Here is a 16,062-nt window from a genome sequence, read left to right as displayed (position 1 = left end):
CGCATGGCCTCCCAGGTGACTGGCGGGTACCTTGGCTCTCTCAGGCTCGTCTTGGGTTGGAGGCTGCTGTCATAACCGAGGCCTGTGGCCGTCCCAGGCCCCCCACGTGCCCTGTGCTTGAGCTGCAGGATGTGGGGATGCCCTGGGCAGGAGGCGGGCAGAGCCCTGGAGGGAGGGGTTCCACCCCTCATGTCCCCTCCAGGGCCCCGCACCCAGGGGCTGCCTGGCAGGTGCTCTTCCCGGAAAGCATCTGGTTCCCGAGAGCCCATTAGGACCGTGCTTCCGTTTCGATGTGGTTATTTTTAAGAATTCTTCATCAGATTTCATTTCAGAAAAAACAGCCCTTACAAAGCAGGGCTTTGAGGACTCCGATTGTCGAGGTGCACGTGCATGGCTTGGAGTGGGTGGGCTCTGAGCACCTCTCGGGGGCTTGGGTGCCAGAAATGTTTTAATAACTCCAGGCATTGAGCGCACACAGAATCACGACTGTGGCACCTGACCCAGTGCCCTGCGACACGCCCACAGGTCGAAAGCTGCCCTGCGCCTGAAGTTCGAGGTGTGCAAGGAGCTGAGGGCCCACCTGGAGCTCCTGCCCAAGACAGGCTATATCCAGGCACAGTCGTCCTACTCCGTGCAGCTCAAGTTCCTGCCGCGGTAGGTGCCAGGACGCCAAGGCCGGGACAGGAGGACGTGGGAGGTTGTGGGCTCCGAGGCGCTCCTCGCCACTGGCCACTCCTCTGTTCTCATTGCTGCCGGGATCATCAGCCTCCAGGGATGTGTTCTGGGGCAGAGGCCATGACGCTGGGGGGCAGTCACAGCTGGGTCTGTGGTCCGTTTTGGTTGCTTTTGTTTAAGATGTGAGCCGAGTTGAAGTTCATTTTTTTGTACAGAGGTTTCCAATTATTCCAGCCTCGTTGTTGAAAAGACTGGGAGGCTGCGTGTCTCCCATGCATGGCCGGTGGCTCTCATGGCCACTGAGGGTCTGCTACCTGCCGGGATAAGGTGGCCCAGGATAAGGCTCTGGCTTGCTACGGGTACCCTGCGGTCCGTGCACTCCCCCGCTGTCTTCCCTGTCTTCATCCCTTTCCCAGTAACTCCCTGGGGTTCTGTTTCAAGCTCAGTGCACACCTGACATTTGCTCCTTTACCTGTGTCTTGAGGGTGTCCCTGTCACCCAGCTGTCCCTCGTCTAATCCAAGGCTCTTCCCAGGCCTGCTGGCTGCATCCCCTGGTCTCTGCTTTTGCCAGGTGAACTTTGATTTCTGCGCTTGAACATTTGTTGTGCTTTGGAGACTGGACGTCCTGTGTCCGATCCCAGCCCCCCAGAGCTGCCCTCAGCATCCGGGCCGGGACCAAGGTCCAGACAAATGATGCTCAGTGGAGCTTGGTGGGGGAGGTGGGCGCAGCAGGCACGGGCCTGGTGGGACTAGGAGGGGAACAGGGCGGAGCTGAGCTTAAAATCGGCTGCTTCCTGGACTTGCCCCCGCCGGCCGCCTGTCACAGGGAGGCTGATGTTTTTCTTTCTTATTTTACTTCTCCTGATATTTCTTTCTTTCTTTCTTTCTTTTTTGAGACAGAGTCTCGCTCTGTCGCCCAGGCTGGAGTGCAGTGGCACTATCTCGGCTCACTGCAAGCTCTGCCTCCCGGGTTCACGCCATTCTCCTGCCTCAGCCTCCCGAGTAGCTGGGACTACAGGCGCCCGCCACCACGCCCGGCTAATTTTTTGTATTTTTTAGTAGAGATGGGGTTTCACCGTGTTAGGCAGGATGGTCTCCATCTCCTGACCTCGTGATCCGCGCGCCTCAGCCTCCCAAAGTGCTGGGATTACAGGCGTGAGCCACCGTGCCCGGCCCTTTTCCTGATAGTTCTTTAACAACGTTAACTTATGTAATCAGAGATCAAGCTCTGATTAAAGTGAAAATGCATTTTTAAAGGGCTTTTTAGGATTCCTTTACGATGCAAACTCCATATTAATTTGAAACATGGCTATTGAATTTATTCCTGTTTATTTAAACACAGCTTTTGAGCCACAGTCACTTGTGTTGCTCCCGGGAGTGACTGGCTACTTAGACACGCCAGAGCCCTCACGGGGCCACAGGGGCCACGTGCTCGTGGGTTCTGTGCGAGAGCAGGAGGGCGGCGCGATGCGTCTCCCAGCGCTGATGTTCCAGAGACGCCGTAGCTCTCACGGGATGTAGAAGCACCAGTGACAGTGGGTCTTATTGTCATTTCACAAAATGGAAAGAGGAAAGCACATTCGCCTTGTCTGCCTCTTTCAGACACTCCCTCCCGGAGGACGCAGGGAGGTATTTTGACAAGGAGACCCGAGTCCTGGAGGCCCCGATGACCATATGGGTTGCCGACCAGGTCTGTGTTGGGGCACTTCCCAGGGATGCTGGGCGCTCCTGGGTAGCAGGGGCTTTCCTGGGAGGCCAGGCCCAGCACCCGGGCGAGGGCCCCCAAAAGGGCTCATCCTCACTTGCCTTCCAGGAGGCGTCTAGCGGCCAGAGGGGCTTGCCTGCTGGGAGGGTGCTCATGGGCCAGAGAGAGGCCTCCGAGGCCCATCCAGGCCAGCAGGGCTGTGTCCCAGGCACCTGCACCTGCATGTGCACACATGAGGGGTGCCCCACACACTCAGCTGCACACGTCTATGCGCCCATGTGTGCCGCACACAGAGACACATGCACCCCACTCCACCTGCAGCAGGCTCTCAGCTGCCACCCACCCGCAGCTCCTCCCGCCATGTCAGGGAGCAGTCACAGGGAAGTGGGTTTTATGAAGAGACGGCCTCGTCGTGTCCTGGAAACAGTGGGCCATGGCCACAAGGCAGCAGCAGTGGTTGCGCCTCAGAGTTTGGGGAGCACTTGGTAAGTCTCCGAGTGGCTGCGAGGGCGCCTGTGCCCTTTATGTCTCAGAACAAGCCAGTGGGATTCACCGTGCATGCCATTGTCACCACCTCGGACCTGGAGCTCAGTCCCTCGGAGGTGGATTTTGGCTACTGCACCATCTATGAGGCCATCAGGACGGAAATCAGCCTCCACAACCACTCGCTCCTGCCCCAGGAGTTCGGGTTCGTCAGGCTTCCCAAGGTACCTCCTGCAGCCAGGCCTGGGGTAAGAGGGGTGAGGCTGGGAAGTCCTGGGGACAGGATGCAGCGGCCACTGCTCCAGGGTCCCCCACGCGTGGGCATGTGGCCCAACTTCCGCCTCTCAGCTGCACCCCTCCACACCTGGGCCTCCCCACCCTGCACACCAGCCCTGGGCGTGCAGCCCAACTTCTGCCTCGGTCCTGTGCACCTCCTGCGCTCCAGATCCCTCTCCCCGCTCTTTCTTCTGAAACTTTCCCCTGCTGGGGCCACACAAGGTAGCTGGGACGAGGCCCAAGCCTGGGCACCCCTCACCTTTCCCTGGGCTGCCCCGCCGCCAACACCGCCATCCTCCCTCTCTCTCCCCCCAGCACACACACACATATGCGTGCACACACATGCACATGCTCACAATTGCTCATGCACTCATACACATGTGCTCACACTCACACACTTGCTGACACACACTCGTTGACAGCGACACTCTCACCCTCACATTCGCTCACACACGATCACACTCATCTCTTACTCTCACACTCACGGCCCTGCCGCACGTGTGTCCACATGGTCTCCCCGTGACATGCCCTCAGAGCACTCTTCTATTTCCAGTTTGTGGACGTCCAACCCAACGATGGGTTTGGGACGATCCTGCCCCTGGAAACGCTGCAGTTCTGTGTGATCTTCCAGCCCACCAAGGCCGAGGAACACAGATTCCAACTGACCTGCAAGTCTGAGATCAACCGGTGAGCCTGCCAGGGAGAGGGGACGCAGGGGGCCTGGAGTGCCCGCTCAGGAGGGGCCCCCCTTCCCAGCTCCACCACATCCCCGCCCCTGACCCCATCTGCCTGGCTGACCACAGGGCTGGGCTGGGCAGCACTGCCGGCCAGCAGGAACCTCAAACCTGGGTGCAGAGAGGCCTGGGACCCAGGCAGCCTTGAGTTCTGGGCCCACTCAGACGTGTGTGTTTGTGTGTGTCGTGGGTGTGTATGTATATGAGCATGTGTGTGAGGACAGGCGAGTGTGCCTGTGTGTGTGTGTGAACGTGTGTGCGCAGACGTATCACTGTAGGAGCAGGTGTGAGTGCATATGGGGGTGTGTGAGTGCGTTTGTCAGTGTGAGCCTGTGTGTGTGTGAGCCTGTGGGAGTGTGTGTGTGAGCCTGCAGGAGTGTGAGTGCAGGTATGTGAGTGTATGGGGGTGAGTGCCTATGTGAGTACACGTAGGTGGGTGTGTGAGCTTGCATGTGAGTGAGCGTGTGTGTGTGAGTGCCTTGTGTGTGAGTGCATGTATGTGGGTGTGTAAGGTTGAGTGTGAGTGCATGTATGTGGGTGTGTAAGGTTGAGTGTGAGTGCTTGTATGTGTGAGCATGTGACTGTGAGTGCATGTATGTGTGAGCATGTGACTGAATGTGAGTGCTTGTATGTGGGTGTGTAAGGTTGAGTGTGAGTGCATGTATGTGTGAGCATGTGACTGAATGTGAGTGCATGTATGTGGGTGTGTAAGGTTGAGTGTGAGTGCGTGTGTGTTGGGTGTGTAAGGTTGAGTGTGAGTGCATGTATGTGTGAGCATGTGACTGAATGTGAGTGCTTGTATGTGTGAGTGCTTGAGTGTGCGACCATGCGTGAGTGCATGTGTGTACATGTGTATGAGTGCGTTTATGTGAGACTGTGTGTGTGCATGTGTGTATACACGCATGCTGTGCAGGGCACCCCTCTGGACACAGGTGGGTGGACCTGTGTCCAGAGGTGGACCTGGTGTTGTAAATCCCTGCGTGCTCTGAGGTCTTGTGCGACCAGCCAGTCTCTGCACCTCCCTGAGCCTGAGGGCGGGATAAGGAAGTGGTGGAGAGGGAGAGATGAAACTGGACCCCAGGCGGTGGCTGGTGGTCCTGCGTGGGTTCTTGTTGCTGCTGGGACCGTCAGTCTCCAGGGATGTGTTCTGGGGCAGAGGCCAAGACACTGGGGGGCAGTCACAGCCGGGTCTGTGGTCCGTTTTGGTCGCTTTTGTTTCCGATGTGAGCCGAGTTGAGGTTCATTTTTTTGCAGAGGCTTCCAATTATTCCAGCCTCGTTGTTGAGAAGATTCCATTCTGCCCTGAATTCCTCTGTGCCTTCATCAAACAATCGCCCACATTTGGGTCCTACTGACCTGGGCCACTGGGGCCTCCCTCCATCTCTGTGGTCCTTGAAATGTATTTATTGAAGACGCCAGGTGCGTTTGTCCTGTGGAATTGCCACAGGTGCGATGCTGTCCCGTGGTGTCAGTTCACATGTTCCTCTGTTCTGTGTTGTGGGTTCATGGGCAGCAGCACCTCTGGGCTAGTCAGACAGCCAGACCACTTCAAAAGCCACGCTGGCTCCTTCCCCAGGGCGCTAACGCCCCGTCGCCTCTCCCTCAGCCGCCTTTGGTGCCCAGTGCTTTGCACGTTCCATCCGTAATCACGGCCATGTTGCAGTTTCCAACCCTGTATCACTTTCTGAACTCTCTGAGGCACACGTGGAGTCCTTAGGCTGCTGCCTTTGATTCCTTCCTAACACGCTTCCCAGTTTGCTTCGCCGTTTACACAAATTCCACTCCTCATTCTCTCTCGTCTCATAACAATGTCACCTGTGATTCGACCATTTTCTACTGCTCATTTTCAAGTGCAATTATTTGTTTCTGAACTTTTACATTTTAATTTTTTTTTTTTTTTTGAGACAGGGTCTTGCTCTGTCACCCAGGCTTGAATGCAAGGGGTGCAATCACGGCTCACTGCAGCCTCCACCTCCCGGGTTCAAGCAATCCTCCCACCTCAGCCTCCTGAGTGTGGCTAGGACTACAGGAACACGCCACCATGCCTGGCTAACTTTTATATTTTTTGTAGAGATGGGGTCTCACTATGTTGCCCAAGCTGGTCTTGAATTCATAGCCTCAAGCGATCCTCCCGCTTCAGCCTCCCAACGTGCTGGGATGACAGGCGTGAGCCACTGTGCGCGGCTCTCCTCCTCACTCTCAGAAGGGAGCCCAGTTCAGAGAGCTTTTCTTTTTTCTTTTTTTTCTTTTTTTGTTATTTTTCTTGAGATGGACTCTCGCTCTCTCGCCAGGCTGGAGTGCAGTGGCATGATCTCGGCTCACTGCAACCTTCGCTTCCCGGGTTCAAGCAATTCTCCTGCCTCAGCCTCCCGAGTAGCTGGGACTATAGGTGTGCACCACCACGCCCAGCTAATTTTTGTATTTTTAGTAGAGACAGGGTTTCACCATGTTAGACAGGATGGTCTCGATCTCTTGACCTTGTGGTCCACCCGCCTCAGCCTCCCAAAGTGCTGGGATTACAGATGTGAGCCACCGCACCCGGCCGCAGATCAGAGAGCTTTTCTTTTCTTTTTTTCTTTTTTTTTTTTTTGAGACGGAGCATCGCTCTTGTTGCCCAGGCTGGAGTGCAATGGCGCAATCTCGGCTCACCACAACCTCTGCCTCCCAGGTTCAAGCGATTCTCCTGCCTCAGCCTCCTGAGTAGCTGGGATTACAGGCATACGCCACCACGCCCAGATAATTTTGTATTTTTAGTAGTGACAGGGTTTCTCCACGTTGGTCAGGCTGGTTTCAAACTCCTGACCTCAGGTGATCTGCCCGCCTCAGCCTCCCAAAGTGCTGGGATTACAGGCATGAGCCACTACACCTGACCTCTCAGAGAGCTTTTCTAACTCCATGGCTCCAGAGCCCCCTGCAGTTCGTGTGTGTGTGTGTGTGTGTAGTGCTGAAAAAAAAAAGGTCCCAACTTTCTTAGCTCTGCGTCCTCTGCTCTCTTCTTCCCTTCCATTTTCAGATAACCCACAAACTCAGCCAACATCATGTACCCTCCACCCAAAATACAGATCTTAGACTTTTATCCTACTTGCCTCTGATTTCTCTTTGTTGTTACAGAAACAAACATTCTCCCTCAAGTCGGAGCTGGCTTTGTTCTCCCTCCCTCCCCAGAGCCCGTCACTGTCAGGAATGCCAGGGGTCACACTTTCATTACATACCTGTGTACCTATAACCTAACACACACACGTACACACGTGTATACCTACAACCTAACAGGTACACACGTGTGTACCTACAACCTAACCCACGTGCACACATGTGTACCTACAACCTAGCGCGCACACACCTGTGTACCTACAACCTAACACCCACGTACACACGTGTGTACCTACAACCTAACACCCACACATACAGACGTGTGTACCTATAACCTAACACCCACATACACACGTGTGTACCTACAACCTAACACCCACGTACACACCTGTGTACCTACAACCTAACACCCACGTATACACCTGTGTACCTACAACCTAACACCCACATACACACGTGTGTACTTACAGCCTAACACCCACGTACACACGTGTGTACCTACAACACCCACGTACACGTGTGTACCCACAACCTAACACCCACGTACACACGTGTGTACCTACAACCTAACACCCACGTACACACGTGTGTACCTACAACCTAACACCCACGTACACACCTGTGTACCCACAACCTAACACCCACGTACACACGTGTGTACCCACAGCCTAACACCCACGTACACACGTGTGTACCCACAGCAACACACATACACACGTGTGTACCTACAACCTAACACCCACGTACACACGTGTACCTACAACCTAACACCCACGTACACACCTGTGTACCTACAACCTAACACCCACGTACACACGTGTGTACCTACAACCTAACACCCACGCACACACGTGTGTACCTACAACCTAACACCCACGTACACACGTACCTACAACGTAACACCCACATACACACGTGTGTACCTACAACCTAACACCCACGTACACACGTGTGTACCTACAACCTAACACCCACGTACACACGTGTGTACCTACAGCCTAACACCCACGTACACACCTGTGTACCTACAGCCTAACACCCACGTACACACGTGTGTACCTACAGCCTAACACCCACGTACACACGTGTGTACCTACAACCTAACACACACACATACACACGTGTACCTATAACCTAACACCCACGTACACACGTGTGTACCTACAACCTAACACCCACGTATACACCTGTGTACCTACAACCTAACACCCACGTATACACCTGTGTACCTACAACCTAACACACATACACACCTGTGTACCTACAACCTAATACACACATGTGTACCTACAACACACATGTACACACGTGTGTACCTACAACCTAACACACACGTACACATGTGTGTACCTACAACCTAACACCCACGTATACACCTGTGTACCTACAACCTAACACCCACGTGTACACCTGTGTACCTACAACCTAACACCCACGTATACACCTGTGTACCTACAGCCTAACACACGTACACACGTGTGTACCTATACCCTAACACTCACACATACACACACTTCTACACTTGCACAGATGTAGGGTGACCACCATGCTGCTGTACCCAGTACTGAGGGGCTTCTCAGGCCGCAGGACTTTGAGTGCTGAAACTTGGAGAGCCCCATGCAGACCGGGACCTCATGCCGGTGGCCTCAGACCCCTGCTGCTGGTCTGGATTTTGCTTGTCTCCCCTCAGCCTGGGTATTTTTGTGACTGATCCTCATGGGCACCACCAAAGGCTCCATGTTGGACCCATCAGGTTTGAGGCCTGCGGGCTGTCAGAGCAGCACCTCGTGGGAAGCTTCTAGTTCTAAACGCAGATATTAGAAAAGAGGGTGTGAAAATCAACCATCTAAGCTTCCTTTTCAAGAATTAGGAAAAGAACACAGTAAATTAAACCCAAAGAGAGTAGAAGAAAGACATAAAAAAGGTAAAAGTGGAAGTCAACGAAATAGAAATGCAATATTCAACAGAGAAAAACAACAAACTAAAAGTCTTTCTTGTACAATTTAATAAAATTCATTACCCCCAGCAAGACCAATGAGGATAAAAAGAGAAAACACAAACCATCAATATCAGGAGCGAAAGGGAACATCACCACAGACCCTAACAAATATCAAAGCGATAAGAAGAGAACATGATGAACATCTTTACACCAGGGAACCTGACAATTTTGAGGAAATGGACAAATTCCTCAAAATACACAATGGACACAGGAAAAATATAGAAATACCTGAATAGTTGGGCCGGGTGCGGTGGCTCACGCCTGTAATCCCAGCACTTTGGGAGGCCGAGGCGGGCGGATCACCTGAGGTCAGGAGTTTGAGACCAGCCTGGCCAACATGGTGAAACCCTGTCTCTACTAAAAATGCAAAAATTAGCCAGGTAAGGTGCTGCACACCTGTAATCCCAGCTACTCTCCTGAAGCAGGAGAGTCGCTTGAACCCAGGAGGCAGAGCTTGCAGTGAGCCGAGATTGCACCACTGCACTAAGCCTGGGCGACAGAGCGAGACTCCATTTCAAAAAAAAAAAAAAAAAGGTCAGGCACGGTGGCTCCCGCATGTAATCCCAGCACTTTGGGAGGCCGAGGTGCGCAGATCACGAGGTCAGGAGATCAAGACCATCCTGCCTAACACGTTGAAACCCCGTCTCTACTAAAAATACAAAAAAATTAGCCGGGCATGGTGGCGGGCGCCTATAGTCCCAGCTACTCGGGAGGCTGAGGCAGGAGAATGGCGTGAACCCTGGAGATGGAGCTTGCAGTGAGCCGAGATCGCACCACTGCACTCCAGCCTGGGTGACAGAGCAAGACCCCATCTCAAAAAAAAAAAAGGTCGGGCACAGTGTCTCACACCTGTAATCCCAACACTTGAGGAGGCCGAGGCGGGCAGATCACGAGGTCAGGAGATCGAGACCATCCTGGCTAACACAGTGAAACACCATCGCTACTAAAAATACAAAAAATTAGCCAGGTGTGGTGGTGGGTGCCTGTAGTCCCAGCTACTTGGGAGACTGAGGCAGGAGAATCATTGAACCCGGGAGGCGGAGGTTGCAGTGAGCCGAGATCATGCCACTGCTCTCCAGCCTGGGCAACAGAGCGAGATTCTGTCTCAAAAAAAAAAAGAAAAAAAGAAAGAAAAAAATTGACTACTAATAATAATCAATAATATCTCCACTCAAAAATAATTTTAGTGAGTGCTGGGCGCCACGGCTGTAATCCCAGCACTTTGGGAAGCTGAAACAGGAGGATCACTTGAGTCCAGGAATTTGAGACCAGCCTGGGCAACACCCCATCACTACATTTTTCTTTTCTTTTTTTTTTTTTTTGAGACAGAGTCTCGCTCTATCACCCAGGCTGGAGTGCGGTGGCGCGATCTCGGCTCACTGCAAGCTCCGCCTCCTGGGTTCACGCCATTCTCCTGCCTCAGCCTCCCAAATAGCTGGGACTACAGGTGCCCACCACCACGCCTGGCTAATTTTTGTGTATTTTTAGTAGAGACGGGGTTTCACCATGTTAGCCAGGATGGTCTCGATCTCCTGACCTCGTGATCTGCCCGCCTCAGCCTCCCAAAGTGCTGGGATTACAGGCGTGAGCCACCGCGCCCGGCCTACATTTTTCTAAGTTTTTTGTTTTTTGTTTTTTGTTTTTTTTTTTTTGAGGCGAGAGTCTCACTCTGTCACCCAGACTGGAGTGCAGTGGGGCGATCTCAGCTCACCGCAACCTCTACCTCCTAGGTTCAAGCAATTCTCCTGCCTCAGCCTCCCGAGTAGCTGGGATTACAGGCACCGGCCACCACGCCCAGCTAACTTTTGCATTTTTTTCAGTAGAGATTGGGTTTCACCGTGTTGGCCAGGCTGGTCTTGAACTCCTGACCTCAGGTAATCCACCCGCCTCGGTCTCCCAAAGTGCTGGGATTATAGGCGTGAGTCACCGCGCCCAGCCAATTTTTTTAAGAATTTTTTTTTTTTTTTTTTTTTTTGAGACAGAGACAGAGTCTTTGCTCTGTCACCCAGGCTGGAGTGCAGTGGCACAATCTCGGCTCGCTGCAAGCTCCGCCTCCTGGGTTCACGCCATTCTTCTGCCTCAGCCTCCCAAATAGCTGGGACTACAGGCGCCCGCCAGCACACCCAGCTAATTTTTTTGTATTTTTAGTAGCGACGGGGTTTCGCCGTGTTAGCCAGGATGGTCTCGATCTCCTGACCTTGTGATCCGCCCGCCTCGGACTCCTAAAGTGTTGGGATTACAGGCGTGAGCCACTGTGCCCGAACTTTTTTTTTTTTTTTTTTTTTTATTGAGATGGGGTCTTGCTCTGTCACCCAGGCTAGAGTGCAGTGGTGCGATCTCAGCTCACTGCAAGCTCCGTCTCCAGGATTCACGCCATTCTCCTGCCTCAGCCTCCAAAGTAGCTGGGACTACAGGTGCCCACCACCATGCCTGGCTAATTTTTTTGTATTTTTAGTAGAGACGGGGTTTCACCGTGTTAGCCGGGATGGTCTCGATCTCCTGACCTCGTGATCCGCCCTCCTCGGCCTCCCAAAGTGCTGGGATTACAGGTGTGAGCCACCATGCCAGCCTTTTTAAAGAATTTTTTAAAGCATTTAGAGCCTGTGGTCACAGGACATAAAAATACGCATTTGAATATTACAACATATGAATGAACACTTTCTGTTACCGACAAATGTGATAGGAGTATTGTCCTTTACAGCATAAAATATATACAATTAGGACAAAAATCAATGGGGAAAATACAGTGGAAATAGGCATTTGAGGAAAATATGAAATGTGAAGTTTCCAATGGTTAAAATAACCAGGTCCCGGCCTCTTTTTAATAGATGGTGGCAGGAATCAACTTGCTCATAATAGGCCTCGTAGACACCTGTGCTTCCATTTAGAGAAAAAGATCCGTTTTTAAAACGTCAATAAATATTTAACAAAATAAGCTAGAAATTTCCTTTGCAACTTCCTTTGCAACTATCTAAACTTGTGATTAAATTTTTAGCTACCCAGGACACAGTGGCACTCATCTGTAGTCCCAGCTACTCGGGAGGCTGAGGCAGGAGGACCTCTTGAACCAGGAGTTCGAGGCTACAGTGAGCTGTCGTAGTGCCACTGCACTCCAGCCTAGGGCAACAGAGCGAGACTCCATCTCTATTTATAAATGAATAAATACGGTTTAAAATTTTTAGCCACCCACCTCAAATGTGCACAAGGATACGCTGTATTTTCGAAACTTGTCAGCGGCGCAGTGACCCCCTGGGCAGCAGGAACGTGCATGTCCCTGTGAGCCCCCCCCGGGGCTTGTCCTCCACCCAGTGGCCCCCGCGCCTGCCGCAGAGGGACACGGACGCCCTGCACGGCTGAGGGCCTCCCATGCTGCTGCTTGCAGGTGCTTCAAGCTGTCTTGCCGGGCTGTAGGCGTCCACCCACCCCTGGAGCTGTCCCACTACCAGATCAAGTTTGCCGCCACGGCCCTATACGACACCTCCGTGGCTACAGTGTACGTCATCAACTCTCACCTGAGCATGAGCTCACCGACCCACTCCAAGCCCCGCATTGGCTCAGAGGACGCCTCTCCCATGGGGCCCACGTCTTTCGAGTTCCTGCTGCCCCCAGACTCGCCTATCACCATCTCGCCCTCAGTGGGGACCGTGTGGCCAGGAAAGGTGGGTGTGGGCCCCACATGCAGGCTGGGAAGCAGGAGCTCCACGCCACCTGCATTTACCCCTGGGGTGTCTGGCTCTGCCCACCCTTAACCACAGGGTTTCAACCCGGAGAACAGGGGCGGGAGTGAACCTGACCCTCAGACCCGAGCAGGGCCGAGGAAGGATCCATGGCCAATGTGCATGGGGGCCCAAGGCCACCCCCATCGGGGGGGGTCACAGTGCCCTTGGTCCAGCCTGACCCCGAGAGGCAGGAGCTCCCCAGGCTGCTGGCCTGGCCGGAACCCATCCAGGGCTCCCAGGTTGAGACTGGGGAAGGCTGTGTAGTCCCTTGCACCTGTGGACCTCGCAGGCCGACTGGGAGGACAAGGTGTCGGCCACTCCCACCCAGCACTCTACCTTTCCTGCAGAGCAGAAAGCTCTGGGCCTGGCAGGGCCTTCGGGTGACCCTGAGGGCTGCCGAAGGCCTAAGTGAGGAAGGGCATGTAAGGGACAGTTGGCTCACATGGGATTTCAATGAATGCAGTGATTCAAAATGGATTTCATTCAACTTAGCGAAAGCCACTCGGTGATGGTTCTCACCCCCACACACATTACTGCAGATGCAGCTCTCCTCTCCCTCCCCTACCCTCTCCCCTCGCTCCCTCCCTACCCTCACTCCCTCCCTCCCCTACCCTCCCCCCACCCTCTCCCCCTCCCGCACCATGTCACCCCCAACCCCATACTGCACACTGCCTGTGGGCTCTGTCATGGAGGGACCCTTCTGTGGGAAGCCATTTCCAAGATGGAGGCTCCTTGGAAAGGCTGGTGTGTGCAGGGACCAGGTTAGGGTGTGGGACTCGCCCGTCAAACTCAAGGCAAGGGCAGGCTCAGCTGTCACTGCTGCCCCGAGGACAGGGGACCCAGTCCCGGCCTGTCCAGGACTCTATTCTCAGCACCTCCAATCACAGGACTGCCCCCTGCATGGCCAGAGGGTTTGGTGCTCCCGCCTGCAGCCCGCCCAGCCTCCTGGGGGACAGAGGTCAGGGAGGGGCTTCCTGAAGGGGCACGCAGCCTGAAATCTCAAGGGGGAGGTGACCTTGAGGGGAGTCCACGGGCAGAGGACGGTAGAGTGCCCGCAGGGGCTCCGGGGAGGTGGAGGGAAGTGGCAACCCCTGTGCCCACGCTGGTCTCTCCTCAGAGGTGCCTGGTCCAGGTGGCCTTCCGGCCAGTGCTGCCCGAGAAGCTGATCCGCCAGGAAGCCCTCCCACTCCTGAACAAAGAAATGGAGACCAAATCTGTGCGTGGGGCCCGGGAAGGAGGGGCGTAGGTCGGGGAAGGGCCTGTTGCAGGAACAAACTCCACCGCCTTCGAGTCCTGGGGGGCTCCGGCCACGTGCCGGGAGCACAGGGTAGACCTTTCCCAAGCAATGCACGTGTCGAGCTGTATCTGAGGTTAAAAAGCTTGCTCACCAAGACCCTCCCTTCTCTCTGGAAGGCACTGCCAGGCGGGAGCAGGGAAGGGTGGGCTCTGGAGGTGGGGGCAGTAGGGGCTGTGACCCAGGGGTGCAGCGGATGCAATGAAGGGCCCCTCCAACAACCTGGAGGCCCCGGGAGGCGCACCTGAAACACGGAGTGTCCTGCAGAATCTGCCCCACAAGTGCCGGCCCTGGAGGTGGCCTCGAGGCTCCTGCCACACTCCAGATGCACCCTTCCCAGCCTGGCTTCCTCCCACGGGTTTGCCCTTCCCGGCCTGGCTTCCTCCCAAGGGTTTGCCCTTCCCGGCCTGGCTTCCTCCCAAGGGTTTGCCCTTCCCGGCCTGGCTTCCTCCCAAGGGTTTGCCCTTCCCGGCCTGGCTTCCTCCCAAGGGTTTGCCCTTCCCGGCCTGGCTTCCTCCCAAGGGTTTGCCCTTCCCGGCCTGGCTTCCTCCCAAGGGTTTGCCCTTCCCGGCCTGGCTTCCTCCCAAGGGTTTGCCTTTCCCGGCCTGGGTTCCTCCTGGGCGTGCACTCGAGGGGAAGCACTTGCCTTCGGCCTTCCGCGGTGAAGATAGGGGAAGGCACCAGGGTGGGGACCCCGGTTCTGGCCGCCTCCTCACTCCGTGCCTCGGTTTATCCTCTGGTGAAGCAGACGCCACAGTCTGTGAGCAGCTCTGTGGGGGTCTGTGTGCCCCTCCGCACTGGCTACTGTCTTCCTCGGGCGCCGGTCGGCTTTTGCGTCCCCACATTCAATCCCAACTGCGGCTCCCGCGGTTCCCGCACTGGCCGCAGAGGAGCCACGGGGCACAGCTGGCTGTGTTTAGGGCCCTGCACAGCCCCACAGCCAGTCGCTCCCCCCACAGTTCCGAAAGAATATGGCCCCCCAGAGGAAGGACCTGCATGGACTGTCATTCTCCGTTCTTCGAGCACAGAACCGCGACAAGCTGTTCAAAGTCTCTGTCCCCCACGTCCTGGAGATGCGGAAGCGGGAGCTGAGGCCCAGGTGGGTCCAGGAGGGGCTGCCCCACCTGCTTCCCTCCAGGCCCCTCTGGTGGGACCCACTGTGGCCCCTGTAGAGTCCCCTCCCTACAGATTGCCCGGAATGACCCATGTGGCTGGAAGGACTGATGCCTTCAGACACAGCTGGATCCAGGTGCTGCCTTCCTGGGACCTACCCACCCCATTTCCCCAGGCCTGACACCCCTGCACACAGCCTCAATCCACGGGTGGGGAGCAAAGCCACCACCCCCCACCCAGCCCCCCGGGTGCAGAATGAGCCCTGGGAAAGCTCTAATGGGTGCCTGTGGCCCCGGGAAGGAACATGGCTCTCTAGCCAGGGGCCAAAGGCACCTGCCCCAACCCCTAGCCTCCAGCCACCAGCTGACGAGGACCTGAAGTGAGTGATGAGACCCCCACAGGAGCCAGAGAAGGGTGGAAAAGCCAGTTTGTCAGACACAACTGGGACAGCCACAGCTTGGGACCCTGGGACCCTGGGACCCTGAGGCAGAGCCGCAGGGGTCCGGCCTGGGCCGATGGTGGGTGGGGGCAAGGCGGGAGCGCAAGCCTCTGACTTCCTTCTAGTTCCGACGAGTACCAGGCCGCCCGAGCCACCCTGCTCAGAGCGTTCCAGGCGAAGTTTGACACATTTGTAGTTCCCTGTGTTGTTGCCAGTGGCGACATCAAAGACAGGAAGGGGTCAGAACCCCTGAGCTTCAGGTGCGGGGTGCTCTGGCCAGAACAGGGTGTGGTCAGCCGCAAACGCGCTGTCCCTCTGCTACTGCCCAACTCTGGGGCCTGGGCGGGCAGGGGGCCGCCCACCCTGCCCTCAGCATGCCCTTCCTATCCCAGCCCCCACAACACCCTGTACCTGGAGCTGTGGTGCCCGACGGTGGCACCATCTGTTGTGGTGACGTCCCATAAAGGCAAGACCATCTTTAACTTCGGCGACGTCGCTGTGGGTGAGACGCTAAGCCCCGCCCACACCTCCACC

General features: G+C 55.4%; 1 protein-coding gene across 1 annotated transcript in view, besides 1 other annotated feature; it reads left to right on the top strand.

The window, feature by feature from the left end:
* CFAP74 (cilia and flagella associated protein 74) overlaps positions 1-16,062 on the top strand; it is an 81,830-nt gene that overhangs the window by 61,105 nt on the left and 4,663 nt on the right. The window contains exons 22-30 of the mRNA NM_001304360.2: positions 526-654; positions 2,279-2,366; positions 2,915-3,088; positions 3,694-3,827; positions 12,346-12,622; positions 13,800-13,898; positions 14,936-15,075; positions 15,654-15,788; positions 15,921-16,030. Coding sequence (NP_001291289.1) covers positions 526-654; positions 2,279-2,366; positions 2,915-3,088; positions 3,694-3,827; positions 12,346-12,622; positions 13,800-13,898; positions 14,936-15,075; positions 15,654-15,788; positions 15,921-16,030 — 1,286 coding nt within the window. The remainder of the gene's footprint in view (positions 1-525; positions 655-2,278; positions 2,367-2,914; positions 3,089-3,693; positions 3,828-12,345; positions 12,623-13,799; positions 13,899-14,935; positions 15,076-15,653; positions 15,789-15,920; positions 16,031-16,062) is intronic.
* Positions 2,793-3,029: a silencer, noted in NCBI's record as "fragment chr1:1871092-1871328 (GRCh37/hg19 assembly coordinates)". NCBI's record gives its function as "represses an EF-1alpha promoter that drives an FKBP-Casp9 reporter gene in an ReSE screen in HepG2 liver carcinoma cells {active_cell/tissue: HepG2}" and the evidence as "EXISTENCE:reporter gene assay evidence [ECO:0000049][PMID:32094911]".

The sequence above is a fragment of the Homo sapiens genome, chromosome 1 (assembly GCF_000001405.40).
Source record: "Homo sapiens chromosome 1, GRCh38.p14 Primary Assembly".
NCBI lineage: Eukaryota > Metazoa > Chordata > Mammalia > Primates > Hominidae > Homo > Homo sapiens.
This window is presented reverse-complemented; position numbering and strand designations above follow the sequence as displayed.